This window comes from Homo sapiens, chromosome 15 (assembly GCF_000001405.40).
Source record: "Homo sapiens chromosome 15, GRCh38.p14 Primary Assembly".
In the NCBI taxonomy this organism is placed as follows: domain Eukaryota; kingdom Metazoa; phylum Chordata; class Mammalia; order Primates; family Hominidae; genus Homo; species Homo sapiens.
The window spans coordinates 57,676,390-57,694,222 of record NC_000015.10 but is presented as its reverse complement, the minus strand read 5'-3'; the positions used below and the strand labels follow the sequence as shown (position 1 = coordinate 57,694,222).

The window sequence follows — 17,833 nt, the reverse complement described above, 5'->3', positions numbered from 1 at the left end:
AATAATAGTAGAAGACAAGAAACTATTATGAATGATGTGGAAGGGCATCACCTCAAGCAGACTGAAGAAAGTTAGTATGAAGGAATAAATATCCTCTTCATAATATACAGAAAGAAAAACATTAGATAATGCAAGTCAAGGGTGGCAAATTGTGGGTCTTTGGCCACATTCAAATTACAGATGGGTGTGTTTGGCAGCACAGTGTTTTTCAGACTTAGGAATTTGAGTGACTTTAGGATAGGCATGTTCTTATAGCCCAGGGAAGCATCCTCCCCTGCTCCCATCAGCTACTGGCCCTATTATCCTACCCTTCTCAACTATAGGCAAACTTCTTGGGTACCAGGGCATTTGAATTTGGGTGCAGGAGGCAAGTGCAAATAAAACACTTAGACCAACTCTTTTATTTTCTGAGGCTGCAATTAATACCATAGAAACTTCCTAGATTACTAGTAGAAGATATATACTTGTTACAGGAAAGCGTTCTTTACTTCTCAATCTCAAAGTTTTTATAAGGCCTTCTGTGTTTTAAGAATCCTTGCAAAAAATAAAAACTTTTACATTTAAAGCAATTTTAAAAACAATCCTCACAAATAGTTCTCAGATAATTCACGGAATTAATGTTCCTCCAGATTATGAACTTCATTAAGATTACAACTTTTTTTTAGAATCAAGTGTAAAAATTTAATTTTTTTTTATTTCTACCTCAGCATGCCCTTCTGTGAGGACTCAGTCTTTTTGGAGGAAATAATTCCTTTGTTTTATAGTCAGAGATGCTCTAGTCAAAGGATATAATCCTGTCATTTGGAACAATTTCTAAAGAATTGTTTGCAACCATCTCAAACAACATATAGGCATAGTTTTCAAAGCTTGATTAAACACTTTTATCTATTTTTAAAAGCCATTTTAAAAAGATCAAAGAAAATTATGAATCTGTGTGATTATCATAGAAAAATTAGCATCTTTACAACTACATTTTATGCTCTAAATTTCATATTGGGGATTTTGTAACAAAAAAAGGATCGACTTAAGACAGCCCTATTTTCCTTCCCTTTAACACCCCAAAAATGTTTACATAAATTTGTGGGCACCATAAAGATATTTTATTTTAAGGTTGGGCTACAAAGTGATCAGTTAAGTTTTTTGTTTTTTTTTTTTTTTCAGTCTGAGTGTGTTTTGTTTAGGAGGTAGCAAGTTAAGAGGAAAGGGGAGAATTAAAATATTTGTAAGATGTCATTAATCTCCAGCAAGAGCCTAGAGTTGTTTTTTTTCCCCCCACTTCATTTCAGAACTAATCCAGCTTTCTGTTATTTGGCTCAGAAAAGTCTTAAATCTGTAACAAGAGAGTAACTTCCTGTTCTCAAGAGTATGGCTGCCAAAGAAAACATTTACAAGAAAAGTCCCAGGGCCAAAAAATTGCCTACTAATTATTTCTCAACCCCCCTCCCATCCCTAAATCAGGAAGGTGAATCCTGTAAACGCTCTATGTTAAAACTTGAAAAATTAAGAGAAAACCATCAAGAACTGTTTGCCATTTATTTATAATTTATTGCATTCAGATTACACCAAGTTTATGGCCCTTGGGCACAAATGAATGTTTCTTATAATATTTTGTTCGGAATCCCACAAAGATTATACTATACCTTTACCAAAATACACTATGGAGGTTTTTCCCAGTACCTTTCCAGCTAAGGAAGAGAAGAGCAGTCACTGACATCCAGGAGCCAACCTAGTGCTCCCAACTTGGGCTGCAGTGTTGCTAGGAGCTGGCCTGACACAGCAAGGTCTTGATGTTATCCTTGGTGACCTGTCTATTCAATGCAGTCCCAAGGAAAATCCCAATAGCGCTTTTGTGGAAATTGACAGACTGTAAAATTCATATAGAAATGCAAAGGACCTAGAATAGCCCAATCAACTTAGAAAAATATAATTAGAGAGCCTGTGCTACCTGACTTCATGGCCGATGATAAAGCTACAGCAAACAAGACAGCATAGTATTAGTGTCAAGATAAGCAACTAGATCCCAATATAACAGTATAGAGAGTATAGAAATAGATTTATGCATATATGGCCAATTTATTTTCAACAATGGTACAAGGGCAATTCAGTGGAAAATGGGTAGTCTTTTCAACAAATAGTGCTAAAACAATTAGATATTTGCATGCAAAAACAAAATGCAACGATATTTTTCACACCATGTATTAGTTATCTAATCCTGCCTAACGAATTACCCCAAGCTTTAGCAGCACTCACCTTCTGGTCTCTTTGCTTCTGTTCTCTCTTTTTTAGCAACTCATCTTTAGTCTCCCTTTTAGGCCTTTCCTTCCCTGACAAAGTAAAATAGATTATTCTTAAATTCACATCTAAACAAAAGGAGATACAGTTTATTTAACCTCCTGCTTATCCAGTAGCATTTCCCTCACTCCTGTTTGTCTTCTGCACAATTCCATTCGCTAGCATTCATTCAATCTCTGTGTCCAATAAGAAGAAATCCTTGGGTTTGCAAATATTCTTGGTGCAATACTGGCTTCCCGGTAATTACTAGTAATAGTAGCAGGTATCAATTATTGGCATATCTCTGATGAACTGCTAGGAAATTTGTCAATGCTATGCCATGATCTGTGCAGCAAGCCTGGGTGGGGGATGCAATTCCATTTACTTCATCGAAAAAGCTGCATCCTGGGGCACGGAGCTGCAGAGTGCTGTAGTGACCTGACCAAGGAGGTATTGTGATTTAATGGCAGACCTGGGACTGACTCCAGGCCTCCCACCTGTGTTCTGAAATCAGACAGGTCTGAGTGGTTTCAGACAATTTTCACATCTTTTTGAGTTTCAATTTCCTTATCCATGAAATGGTGGTGATAACATCTTCCAGGCAGGACTGTTGTAAAGACTCAGTGTATGTGTGCTGTGTCCAGCTCAGTAACTCCTGGTATTATTTACTTCCCCAAAGCCGAGGCTTTTTCTGGAATACTCCTCATTTGTAGATTTCTTCATGCTTATCAAGGTTTACAATGGCTTCCCTCCAAATGACTAGTGTGCCCCTTATGGGACACTGCCCCTGAGGAGTTTATGTCACTGGAGAGATAATAAATGTACACAAAGATTGGTCATGAGATGTAAGAATAAAGAAGGGGCTGAAAATAAGTTCCCCTGGGATTCAGAGATGGGAAAGATCAGGAGGGCCTGGACTTGCTGGAAAAGATTTTGGAGACAGCAAGGGTCTCGAGGTGCATTTCTTTGTCTTCCAAGCACCTGGCATGTGCTGGGTGAACTGAACTGGCCCTCTCAGTCTGGCCGTCAAGAAGAGCACCATGGCCCAGTGGGACTTGAGCCAGGACCCATTCCTATCACCCCCACTCCTTGCCCTGGTGACCACCCTAGAGTTCCTGGAGTAGGCAGATGGCATTCACTGGGAAGAAAGTGGGTGCTCACAGTGGACACATGGACCAGCTCAGGGGTCAGCCTTGGTTGGTGCACCCTCCAAGCACTTCCCAAATGTTGATCCTCTCTCCCAGGCTATCCCTGAAATAGGGGGCATGCCCCACTCAGAGTCAAACCGCATCTTAGGCATGTGGCCTGAGTGACAGGCTCTTGATGCTGGCTCACTAAGCGGCAGGCCTTCTTTGATTCCTGGATCCTGAGGGACACTTGCTCCTTCTGAGTCCATCCAGTTTCCCGTCGGCTGCCCAGGCACTCTCTGGGCCCTAGGGACACCTCCAGGCCCGCAGCTCACACCTGCATGTCCCTGAGTTCTGATATCCACAGGCAATATGCTGAAGGAACTTTGTTCACCACCTGTTTGGGGGGCAGGTCTGCCTAAAGAAAGCCATGTTGTACACTCTGTTTCTCATTCCTCATGTTGGCAAAAGAGTCAGGAAGTCACATTCTCAGCCTGTTAGTGAGAATTTCAATGAATTCAAATTTCCATAGGCCGTATTGGACCATAGGCACCAAAAGTGTGCACACCTTTTGACCAGACAATTCCTCTAGGAACTGATCCTGAGAAAATAATCAGTCAAGTGTGCAAAAACGTGTGGACAAGATGGTTCATCAGAGGACTGCTGAAGAAAAGTGAAGACAACATCCAAGATTCCAACACTAAGGGATGGGTCAAATAAATTATGGGACATCAAAAAATGGAATCCAATTACCTATAAGAAGCAATGGTGTAGATTATATATATAGTATATATACACTTTTTGCTTACTTTATGTATATGTATATATTTCTATATATAATACATATGTATACTTTTTGCTTACTTTATATGTATATATACTTTATATATATACACATATATATGCATGTGAATATATTATATATAATATATTATATAATATATACTATATCATATATATGATATAGTATATATTATATATGATATACGTATATAATATATAATATATGATATACGTATATCATATATCATACATGTATATATTATATACGTATATATCATATATTATATATGATATATACGTATATAATATATACATGTATGATATATAATATACGTATATAATATATACATGTATGATATATTATATACATATATAATATATGATATATGATATACGATATACTTATATTATATAATATATGATATATTATATACGTATATTATATAATGTATGATATATATATGTATATTATATATGATATATACGTATATTATATATGATATATTATGTACGTATACAATATATAATATGATATATTATATACACGTATATATATGTATATATTACATACGCGTATATAATATATGCATATATTACATATGCGTATATAACATATGCATATATTACACAGGTGTATATAATATATACGCATATAATATATATACGTATATATTATATACTATATATAATATATATACGTATATATTATATACACTATTGGTATATTATATACATATAGTATATATTATATCCATTATATACAATTATATACACATATTATATATAACATACATGTATATAATATACACATATTATATATAATACATATGTGTATATTATACATATATATGTGTATATTATACATATATATGTGTATATTATACATATATGTGTATACTATACACATATTATATAATATATATGTGTATACTATACACATATATGTATAATATACACATATTATATATAATATATGTGTATATTATACATATATATGTGTATATTGTACACATATATTATATATGTGTATATTGTGCACATATATATTATATATGTGTACATTGTACACATATATTCTGTATGTGTACATTGTACACATATATTCTGTATGTGTACATTGTACACATATATTCTGTATGTGTACATTGAACACATATATTCTGTATGTGTACATTGAACACATATATTCTGTAGGTGTACATTGAACACATATATTCTGTAGGTGTACATTGAACACATATATTCTATAGAATGTATGTGTATATTCTACACATATATTCTATAGAATATATATGTACATTGTACACATATATATTCTATAGAATATACATAGAGTATATATATATACTCTATAGAGTATATATGTGCACATTGTACACATATAGAGTATATATGTGCACATTGTACACATATAGAGTATATATGTGCACATTGTACACATATAGAGTATATATGTGCACATTGTACACATATAGAGTATATATAGGTGTACATTGTACACATATAGAGTATATAGGTGTACATTGTACACATATAGAGTATATAGGTGTACATTGTACACATATAGAGTATATAGGTGTACATTGTACACATATATATTTTATATAATATATATGTGTATATTGTACACACATATATTTTATATTATATGTGTATATTGTACACACATATTATATATATGTGTATATTGTACACACATATTATATATATGTGTATATTGTACACACATATTATATATGTGTATATTGTACACACATAATATATGTGTATATTGTACACACATAATATATGTGTATATTGTACACACATATATATGTGTATATTGTACACACATATATATGTGTATATTGTACACACATATATATGTGTATATTGTACACACATATATATGTGTATATTGTACACACATATATATGTGTATATTGTACACACATATATATGTGTATATTGTACACACATATATATGTGTATATTGTACACACATATTATATATGTGTATATTGTACACACATTTATATATGTGTATATTGTACACACATTTATATATGTGTATATTGTACACACATTATATATGTGTATATTGTACACACATATTATATATGTGTATATTGTACACACATATTATATATGTGTATATTGTACACACATATTATATATGTGTATATTGTACACACATATTATATATGTGTATATTGTACACACATATTATATATATGTGTATATTGTACACACATATTATATATGTGTATATTGTACACACATATTATATATGTGTATATTGTACACACATATTATATATATGTGTATATTGTACACACATATTATATATATGTGTATATTGTACACACATATTATATATATGTGTATATTGTACACACATATTATATATGTGTATATTGTACACACATATTATATATATGTGTATATTGTACACACATATTATATATATGTGTATATTGTACACACATATATATGTGTATATTGTACACACATATATATGTGTATATTGTACACACATATATATGTGTATATTGTACACACATATATATGTGTATATTGTACACACATATTATATATATGTGTATATTGTACACACATATTATATATATGTGTATATTGTACACACATATTATATATAATATATATGTGTATATTGTACACATATATTATATATAATATATATGTGTATATTGTACACATATATTATATATAATATATATGTGTATATTGTACACATATATTATATAATATATATGTGTATATTGTATACATATATGTGTATAATATATGTGTATATTGTATACATATATGTGTATAATATATATTATGTATATTGTATACATATATATTATATGCATATATAAAGTATATATACATATAAAATAAGCAAAAATATATATTATATGTATATATATAAAGTAAGCAAACTTACTATATATAAAGTATATATATAAAGCAAACTATATAAAGTGTGTGTATATATATATTTATATATATATAAAGTAAGCAAAAAGTGGCTACAAAAGTATGTAATGTTAATAGGTAGCATATATTAAGTGCTTATCATGTGCCAAGCACTATTCTAAGAACCATGCAGGCATTAACTCATTTACTCTTCACACCAACCCCATTAGGAAAGAACTCTCACAGTTCCAATTTTACAGGCCCTCAGACAGGGTTGTGACTTACCCACATGCGCACTAGTGACTAAGCTCAGATAGCTGACTCGAGTGTTCCCACGTTCTTAAAAATCACATGATTCCACTTCTCAGTATAGGGTTATATTTATTTTAAAAACAAAATGGAGCGGGTGTGTTTTAAAATTCTGGAAGGTCTGGAATGAAGATATTAATTGGAAGATTATAGGATGTTGTTTTATTTTTTAAAAACCCTTTACATACACTGCTGCTTTCCATTTCAGTGAGATAAATTTACTATGAAATGTTAGAGTTCATTCTCCCAATTTTATGTAATACCCCTGCTCATGAAGAGGTTGATGAATGTCAGTCCTTTAGATGGAGGGTTGGGGGGCACTAGAGTCAATGTTGACAAAGGATCTGGAAGGATTATCTCTCAGCTTCTTTCGGTTTCAGTCTGTACAATTTAGGAACTCTCTTTAATAGTCTTCTTGAGTAGTTCAAATCATGTTTAGAATTTTCCATATGTTGAAGATATATTTTAAAATACAAAGGCCCGAGCTGCAGAATGGTCCCTGGTATCCTTTAAATTTAAAATTACTAAGTTTTTCTTTTCCTTGCTTGTTTTAAGAGAGAGAGAAAGAAGTGAATGTGGAAGTATTGGCAGAGTAGTTTTCATTTCTACCTTGGTCTCATTAAAATTGACATTTTTTAAGTCATTGCATTTCACTTAGAAACTGCTTCCAGACCAGTTTCTTCAGGGGGATGGGCTCCCAGAACCCTCTGCCTCTCTCTGAGTCCAGCTTCCCTATCTCCTGGTCCTAAGGACAGCTTTTTCTCTAAGTGCTCCTTCTTGGTGGCTGCCACAGAACACGGTTTTTTGCTGCTAGAATACCTCCAGTGGTGAGACTCAACCAGCAATCAGCAGTGCTCTAAAACCTCCAGAATGACAGCAATCACTGCCTGTGTGCCTAGCAGTGCCCACTCCCTATGTGGGAATGACCTCATGTGGCACTCACGTCAGCCTATCAAGTAGGTGTGATAATCCGAGGTTTTTAAAGGATGAAACTAATATTCAGAGAGCCTTGACGACTCGCCCAAGGTCCCACGGACAGTGTTTAAATACAAATGTGGCTCCCAAATGCACATTTTCCTCTTAGCATGATTCTGACTCACAGTGATTTATCTAACTGAGTTGCTTTGCTTTCTTACTTTTTTATTTCTTTGGTTTTTTGGAAGTGGAGACAGTAAGGGGTGGGAGGTTTGAGGAAAGGTTTAAAAGTAAAATCTATTTTTGTACTTTGTGATCATTAAGGTATCTTGCTTTTTCCACATGGTGTATTAACTAAAGTTCAGCAATTAAAAAGACAGATAGGCCCCCCACCCTCCCCCGACACACACAGTCAATCTTATGGTTTACAGATGCTTGTATGAATTGTACTGGCTGGAAGATCATGTGATTTGACTTTGACACTCATTCCAGAGCCTGATCTGCTCTCTGCCCCTTCTACATGGTCATGGATGAAACAGAGAGACAACATTAGTAGAACAAAATATATGGTATTTATTAAACACATGTGACATAGGTTATAATATCAAAGTAGAGCATGCATGAACAGATGATTCATTCGTTTAACAAAAACACCAATTGATACTGAGAACACTAAATTATTAAATTTCCAAGACATATAAAATTCTCTTTAAGTTAAAGTGAGAAAGAAAAAAAAATCACTAGTTGAATAAATACAGTGATTTCAGCTGGTCCAATGAAAGCATAAGGCACAAATTAAACCAAGGGACTAGCGCATCAGAATGAAGCTTGTCTGGCCCACACAAGTCTCTCAGTGTGGCTCCCACGACCCTGCACAGATGCTTGGGACCAAGAGGAAAGAGCACCTGCAGGCCGGGAACCCTCCCTTCCAGGTTCAAGTTTGGCTGGGTGCCCATGCTTCTTGTGGACAGGCCTCTCTGTATCAGAGAAACGCTGCCTCTAATACTTTTATGGGTAAACAAAACCTTCATGCTCTATCAAACAATCCTGGCATGAATAACATGAAACTTCAAATTAATGTCCTTTTCCCTCCCAACCAAAGTCTAGCAAATAAAATACATTGTGAAGGAATCCTCCTGATAGGATTTCAGTGTCTACAAAGAAAACAAATGATGATGCAGTACGGCAGGGTATGCCGAGTGGGTGTCTGAAATGTGACCTTGTATATCCCTCTCTTACCTGCTCACTCTGCCTTCACTTTCCTTCCTGTCTTAGAAGTGGATCAGAGCCTCAGCGATTCCCATTCCGGCTTACACTGTGTGTAGGGGAAACAACAGTCACCCTTCCCAAAGGATTTGAAGCCACAGGGTTCCAGAGCTTTTGTCCATCTGTAAAAAGTGTATGCCTCTGAGTGCCTAAGTCAGAGTTTTCTTCATGGTTAACTCCAGGACTCTTGTGTATGGGGTGTAGTTCCTAGAAGGCATCACAATTTCACGAGTCCTGCCTGTTTGGCTGAGAAATGAGAAAATGCAGGTCAGGAAAATGAAACAAAACAAAACCCCCCATATGCTTCACATGGTAAGACAACTCTAGAAAATGGTGTTTAAGTGTTTAAAAATAAAAAGACAATAATGCAGCTTAATATTTCACTTAAATATTACAAACAGGCCCTGCAATGGACTTTACGTTTTCCCAAATTCATATTTTGAAATCCTAACCCCTAAGGTGATGTATTAGGAGGTGGGGACTTTGGGAGGTGATTAGGTCATGAGGGTGGAGCCCTCATGAATGGGATTAGTGGCCTTATGAGAGAGGCCCCAGGCCCAGCGTGGTGGCTCACGCCTGTAATCCCAGCACTTTGGAAGGCCGAGGCAGGGGGATCACCTGAAGTCGGGAGTTCGTGACCAGCCTGACCAACATGGAGAAACTCTGTCTCTACTAAAAATACAAAATTAGCTGGGCATGATGGCACATGCCTGTAATCCCAGCTACTCAGGAGGCTGAGGCAGAAGAACTGCTTGAACCCGGGAGGCAGAGGTTGCAGTAAGCCAAGTTCATGCCACTGCACTCCAGCCTGGGCAACAAGAGCTAAATTCCATCTCAAAAAAAAAAAGAGAGGCCCCAGAAATATTCATCATCATCCCTTCTGCTATGTGAGGACATAGCAAGAAGACACTATACATGAACCAGAAAGCAAGTCCTTGCCAAACACTGGATCTGCTGGCACCTTGGTCTTAGACATCCCAGCCTTCAGAACTGTGAGAAAAAAATTTCTGTTGTTTATAAGCTAACTAGTTTATGGTACTTTGTTATGGCAGCCAGAACAGACTACGACAGGTTAAAAATAAAAAAGTTATTTTTAACAACCTGTAAAGGTTGTACTAGGCATCCATGGTTCAGAAAAATATGAAACATGCATTCAAGGGACTTGTCACCTGGTGGGAAAGATATGTACATAAAAAATTTTCATGTACTGTGTTAGGAACTATAACAGAGACATAACAGCTGTGCTGGGCATTCTTCTTTTGCCATTCAGCCCTACTCTGCCCCTTCTCCACCCTACTCTGTGGCCCGGAAAAGTCAGCATCCATTTGCCCTTCAAATTCAGTTCCTTTTGGCCTACTGCAAGGTGGTAGCAGGGGATCAGGGAATGAGAGGACAAAGAGGTCGGGACATTTTTCCTTTCCCAGCCAGGCTGCAGCTTGGTAGTTGGCGGCATCCCTCTACCAGGGCCCATAGCTACAGCTCCCCAACTTGTTATCTTCCCCAGCTTTCTCCCCTGCCTCCTCAGGCAAGGGTGGTAACAGCTTCCACTGTTGCTAGTTCCACAGCCTGCCACTGTCCCTTGTTTATTTCCCTTAAAGTTGCCCAAACATCCACAACAGTCCCTTCATTTAACTCTCAAGCCTCCCTTCCCGCCATGACCTGAACAAAATGAGCATGAACACATGATGGGAAAATTGAGGGCAGAACAATTTAGCACCACCAGGAAATTCACATCTAGAAATTCACACAGAGAAGGTGAATCTTGAAGGATGCCTAGCACTCATCAAGCGGGCAAAGCGGGGATGGGAACTCCAGGAAGAAGGGGCAGTATGTGTAAGGCAGAGATGGGTGAGCACACAGTTTGTGGATGTGGAACTGCAAACCATGTGCTCCTTTGGAACGACTGGAACAAAGAGTTCACAATGGAGAGTGGCAGAAGATGAGGCCTGGTGGAGAAGGGTCCCATGTCCCTGGCTAAGGAGTTCAGAAGGGGACAGGGAACTACAGCAGGTTTTTAAGGAGGGCCATGATCTGCTCATATTTTTATTCTAGCAAGATTCCTCTGGTACTATCGAGGGTTGACTAGGGAAGGATTATTCTGAAGGCAGGTCAGTTAGAAAATTCTTGCTCTTCAGGAGGTGAAAGAGAGATCATGACAACTTGAATTCTGACGGAAGCACTTGATGGGAAGTGGCGGGGAGATTTTAGGGAGACATTTGAGAGTTATAGTTAACAGGATTAGGTGACTAAGACATCCCATTTCTTTTTTCTCCTGGACACACAACTCAACTACATTTCCCAGCTTCTCTTGCCATTAGGTGGGCCATGTGACTAAACAGGCAGAAATGACTTCTACTACTTCCAGGTTTAACCCATAAAAATCTACATAATCCCCCACGCTCTCTCTCTCTCTTCCCTTTTATGTAGAGCATACAAGTGGAGAATCCAGGAGGACTCCAAAGCTCAGGCAGGGTTGCTAGATGGAGGAATTCCTGGGTTCCTGAAAGACTGTGTGGAGTGAAACCTATACCAAACGGCCTTAAACTGACATGGGAAATTAATCTTTACCATGCTAAGCCACCAAGATCTGTGGGTTCTTTCAAATAGCTACATTCCTTATCCCAACCAACACGATGACAAAATGTGTATATGAAGCCTAAGAGTCGAATCCCTTTCCCCTAACTTCCCACATCCAGTCATTCACCAGGTGATAGAGGATGTATTAAAAAGCATGGCAGGGGGTGTATTTTAAACTTTGCATGTCTCCCCCAGGAGATTCTCCATATTCTCCACCCAATCCCCATATACACCTTGAACATCACTATTATACAGGCTTCTGACACCTCCATAGCTTTTTTTTTTTGAGACCAAATCTCTCTCTCTTGCCCAGGCTGGAGTGCAGTGGCACGATCTCAGCTCAATGCAACCTCTGCCTCCCAGGCTCAAGCAATTCTCCTGCCTCAGCCTCCCAAGTAGCTGGGATTACAGGCGCGTGCCATGACCACCTGGTTAATTTTTGTATTTTTAGTAGAGACGGAGTTTCACTGGGTGGGCCAGTCTGGTCTTGAACCCCTGGCCTCAAATGATCCGCCCAACTCGGCCTCCCAAAGTGCTGGGATTACAGGCGTGAGCCACCACGCCAAGCCTCTATAGCATCTTATTGCACTTGTTGGTCTACACATTTGTGTCCACTGCTAGGTATAATTTCTTTAAGGGTGAAAGCCACATCTCCGTCATCTCCATGAATCCAGCAGCTCACAGAAGCCAGCCACAGAGCTATTACCCCACATATGAATTACAAAGGAAACCAAAGGTTGGAGGAGTTTCAAGAAGTAAGTGGTCCCAGTGTCACCTGCCACAGAGAGCAATCCATGGGACCTGGTGATCCAGGAGGCCCCACTGACCTGACCAGGCAGTTTAGTGGAATGCCAGGGGCAGAAGCCAGATGGCTATTTGTGCCAACTCCTGTGAAAATTCTGCATAACAGAAACAGTCTCCAATGACAATATCCTGAAAGCCCATAAAATGCAGAAATATTTATAAAGGTGAACCTTCTAGGTTCAAAAACAGGCTCTCATATCCCGATCTTTTAAAAAAGAAGTGGGGTATTTTATTTTGTTGATCACTAGGAAACAACAGGATTTCAAGAACACAAATAACCTCAACCACAAAACTGAAACCCAACCATTTGCCTTAACACATTTAGGCTATTGTTAACCTTTTATTAATCAATAAAGGGGCAGTTCCCCTGGGGAAAACAATAGCAGAATCAGCAAATAAAGCTTTGACAAAAAGCTACTTTGTGTTCTGGTCTTTGCAAAAGAAATACGAAAATATAAGCATTTTAAAGCACTTACTACGTGCTGAGCACTTATGACCATGGGGAATATTTTTCATCATATTGCACCTATTAAGACATAATTGATGAAAACCAAGTTTGCTGGTTTGCTGGAAACCAAGTTTCACTACAGGGCAGAAGAAAGAAAAGTCACTTTTCCTTTCGTTTTTGTTTTTTCATTTTTCTTTGTAAATGAAGGCTAGATGACCTGCACTTGTTCTCAATGGCTTTAATTAACATATATCAAAGTTTTCAAACTAAACTCCTGAGTCTTTAAATACACACATACATTTGTGTGTGTGTGTGTGTGTGTGTGTGTGTGTGAACTCCTGAACCCACAGTGAGTCCCCTCTCACCCCTTCCCTTTCCCTCTCTCTTTATGAAGAGATCCTTGGTCACTAGAAATTTATGGAAAACAAAGATTAGATGAAGGAGGGGAAGAATTTGAGGAGGAGAAAGTGAGGCAGAGAGATGGTACTGAGTAGATTAGACAGTCTGAGGCAGGCTGGCAGCAAGAGGAATGGGAAAGAAGGAGTCAAGTCATGAAGGAAAAGAACAGCACAGTATGAGTGAGTGAGTCAAGGAGCAAAATAATTCTCTGACTCAGAAGTGACTGCAATATACTGAGTTTAGGTAGCTGGGAAAGCAGTGGCTGCAGCCACAGAAATATGAAAAGGCGGGGCACTTCCACTGGACATTCTATGCCTGTTACTTCCCTTAATCCTCTCAACAAGCTTCCAAAGGGATTGCCACCAAAATCATCCTTTTCAAGATGAGAATCAAGGAGGGTAGGAATTTGCCAAAGCTGCAGATAAAGCAGGAGGCGGACTCAGGACCCAAACCCAGGTCTAACTTCCAAGCCAGTATTCTTACTCACTCCTAAGAGGAGAGACTTTGAAGAAAGAGATGGCGCACTCGGCCATGAAACGGCAAGTATGAAGACCAAGCAGACACCAGCTGGGAGTGTGCCCAGAAGGCTGTGGGGAACAAGGACTTGTATTCAAGAGAAAGGTTCACACTTCTGTGGCTCAGCCACAGAGGGGAGAGGTGAAGCTGTGAGACTTGATGTAATCTTTGCAGAAAGTACCGGAACCAAGATAGAGCCATGTGGACTACCATGGGAGGGTCTTGGAGGAGGAAAAGAAGCCATCAGAGAAGCTGGAGAAGGACAGACCAGGGAGATAGGTGGAGAACCAGGAGAGAAAAGTCCTGCAAGGGTAGGAAATAGGCTGAGGAATCCTTCCTTTCTTCTTAGGAAGGATTGTCAAATGCTACAGGGAGATGGCTCCATTCAACAAATATTGAGTGCCTAGTATGTGCCAAGCATTGCTCTAAGGAGGTCCCAGGGAGAATGCAATTAGTGAAAGAGATGAAAATCCCTGCCCTCATGGAGCTCATATTCTAGTGAGGAGACAGAGAGAGAGAGAGAGAGAAACACACACACACACACACACACACACACACACACAAAGAGGTGAAACATAAGCAGGAATGACTTCATCCAAGGCCTTTATTAAATAAATAAATCATGTGATAATACTGATCACCTGCCTATGTTCTTCATTTGGTATGTATCTTTCACTTATTCACCCAACAAATGTTTATTGAGCATCAACTAAATGCATTTTTTTTTGAGACGGAGTTTCACTCTTGTTGCCCAGGATGGAGTACAATGGTGCGATCTCAGCTCAACACAACCTCCACCTCTTGGGTTCAAGTGATTCTCCTGCCTCAGCTTCCTGAGTAGCTGGGATTACAGGCATGTGTCACCACACCTGGCTAATTTCTTATTTTTAGTAGAGACGGGGTTTCTCCATGTTGGTCAGGCTGGTCTCAAACTCCCAACCTCAGGTGATCCGCCCGCCTCGGCCTCCCAAAGTACTGGGATTACAGGTGTGAGACACCACACCCGGCAACTAAATGCAATTTTTTTTTCACACAAGACAAAAAAAAAAGTAGAGCAGCTCTAAAAATGCTATTAGCAGTAGCACAGCATGTAACACTTGCAGTTGTACAGATGAGTGAGTAGGAGAGGCCATGCTATTCTACAATAAGACAAGTGCCCCATGCCTACAGCACGCAGGGGCCACTCTCAGGTCTTAGCTGACAGAGACCTTATCAATCACTGGGCCTCCCAGAGTTTTACACAGTGTCTAGACGGGGTGTCTAGAGAGTTTAACTGAAGAGCCCAATGCATACTGAAGTACTATATACTTGATCAGGCTATCAATCCATTTCATAAAATCAATGATTACCACCAATAAAAAGTTAATGAAATCATCTTAGCATACTCAGATTTTTTTGTATTTTATATAGTGTTCTACATAGAAAATCAGAGTTTGGGTTTAGTTAATATTAATAGTAATAGCTATTAGTTATTAAGTGCTTAACTCTGGTCCAGTTACCATGCTAAAATGCTTTCATTTTTATTTTTATTTATTTGAGACGGGGTCTCATTCTGTTGCCCAGGCCCAGGCTGGAGTGCAGGGGCATGATCTTGGCTCACTGCAACCTCTGCCTCCCGGGTTCAAGCTATTCTCCTGTCTCAGCCTCCTGAGTAGCTGGGATTACAGGTGCACACCACCACACCCGGCTAATTTTTTGTATTTTAGTAGAGACAGGGTTTCATCAAGTTGCCCAGGCTGATCTTGAACTCTGGAGCTCAGGCAATCCACTGCCTTGGCCTCCCAAAGTGCTAGGATTACAGGTATGAGCCACCATGCCTGGCCTATTTTTTATTTCTTTTCTTTTTTTTTTTTTTTTTTTTTGGTAGAGATAAGGTCCTGCTATGTGGCTTAGGCTGGTCTTGAACTCCTAGCTTCAAGGGATCCTCCCGCCTTGGCCTCCCAAAGTGCTGGCAATACAGGTGTGACCCACCATGCCCAGTCTCTAAATGCTTTATGTACACATTTTTATTTAATCTTCAAAGCAACCCAATGAGGTTTGATATTATCCTCTTCATTCTTAGTTTAAAGATGAAAGAGTTGAAGCTTTAGAGAGATGAAGTAACTTGCCCAAGGCTGAGCTCAGCTAGCAGCTGGCTGGGCAGGGAACTGGACAGCCTGAGCCTCCCTGACTGTTCCACACTGGTGAATTCCTTGTAGGAGAAGAATAGGGACAAAGAACAAAACGCTTCTGCATAACTCAGGCTTAATTCAATGCTTGTATTGGTCTAAAACATTCTAGAAACAAAAATCTAAAAAACATTCTGGACAATACCATGGAATCTTTTATTAGTTAGATGCAAATTTGAAGTCCAAGTATGAACCAGGAATTTTGTTAGAACATACACACCACCATTTAGTAGCTCTCTATTTATTACATATTTTCAAACTACACATGTACTGCACCAAGACTCAAGAAGGCCTGGTTCTAATTCTGGCTATGTGGCTTCCAGTGAATCACTTGATCTCTCTGAGCCCCAGTTCTGGCATCCATAAAACATGGGGATTAACTAGACCGGGAGTTCCAATTTGTTTTTGCCCATAGAGCTATTTATTCAAACAGAATCTTACTTGGAATCCAACAGACAAAACAAACTAAAAGCTGACTTTCTCAGTTGTTTTGGGGAGGAAGAAGGGTCCCACGGTCCAGCCGCTCACTAACCCTCCTCATCCCCCCGGGCATCCCGAAGCCTCTCCAGGAGCCCCAGCTCAGAGTAAGGCAGTTCCAAGAAGCGCAGGTGGAAGGCCACTGCCCTGAGTTACCGAAAGATTCTGGGCTCCTCCCCACCCAGACTTCCCTGGCGCCTTTCACATAGTAGGCACTTAATAAATATTTGCGAGGAAACGAATGAAATATTATTCTGCCTTTTCGGAAACACGGATATGTAGTTTTCATTTCCTCTGCTGATTGACCTAGGTAGTTAAACTGCTAAGATGGATCCGGGGGGAAACCAAATGTTACATTTATGGAAAAGCTGCTTTTAGATACTGAAGTGGCTTCCAAGTTCACCATGGCCATAAGTTAAGGGTCTGTCAGCACTTCCATTATGAAAACCGCTTTGTGGTTTCATAACTTAGCCATAAAAGTTTGCTTCAGGCTATACTTGGGCATACAAATTGAAAAGCTTGTTTTAAGCCAAAATGCGGGAATTAGAAAACAAACAATTTATTGGTTTCAGACATAGTTTTGTACCCGTCTTAGCCAAACAAGATTTATTATGTGGGCAATTAGAGTGGACTAGGCCACTTGGCTTTTGAAAAATACAAAAAGGGGGGAAACGGCCAAATTATTTAAATTTCAAAAAGGTCTCTGTACACAATTGATCGTTCTTTTTGGTTATATTTTCATATATGAAAATATATCTGAATATGATGAGATCCGGAGTCTATATATATGTATATATATGTATATATATATATATATATATACATATATATATATACACATATATATACATATATATATATTCAACATT

The 17,833-nt window shown here is 38.3% G+C and overlaps 2 protein-coding genes across 10 annotated transcripts in view; both read right to left on the bottom strand.

Annotated features, from left to right (window-relative positions):
- Window positions 1-17,833, bottom strand: part of GCOM1 (GCOM1, MYZAP-POLR2M combined locus) — a 125,654-nt gene that overhangs the window by 23,335 nt on the left and 84,486 nt on the right. Inside the window, exons 13-14 of one of the 8 annotated variants that reach the window (NR_104367.2) lie at window positions 9,549-9,821; window positions 2,251-2,324 (exon numbers count right to left, since the gene is read on the bottom strand). The exons of 5 other annotated variants lie outside the window; for them this stretch is intronic. The gene's annotated coding sequence lies outside the window, so the exon portion shown is untranslated. The remainder of the gene's footprint in view (window positions 1-2,250; window positions 2,325-9,548; window positions 9,822-17,833) is intronic. 2 more of the 8 variants (NR_104368.2, NR_104371.3) reach the window with 2 other exon arrangements.
- The window catches only part of MYZAP (myocardial zonula adherens protein), a 93,461-nt gene continuing 84,486 nt past the window's right edge, over window positions 8,859-17,833 (bottom strand). For both annotated transcript variants that reach the window (NM_001018100.5, NM_152451.8), the window contains one exon: window positions 8,859-9,821. In NM_001018100.5, the coding sequence (NP_001018110.1) occupies window positions 9,725-9,821 (97 nt within the window). In that variant the 3' untranslated portion in view covers window positions 8,859-9,724. The remainder of the gene's footprint in view (window positions 9,822-17,833) is intronic.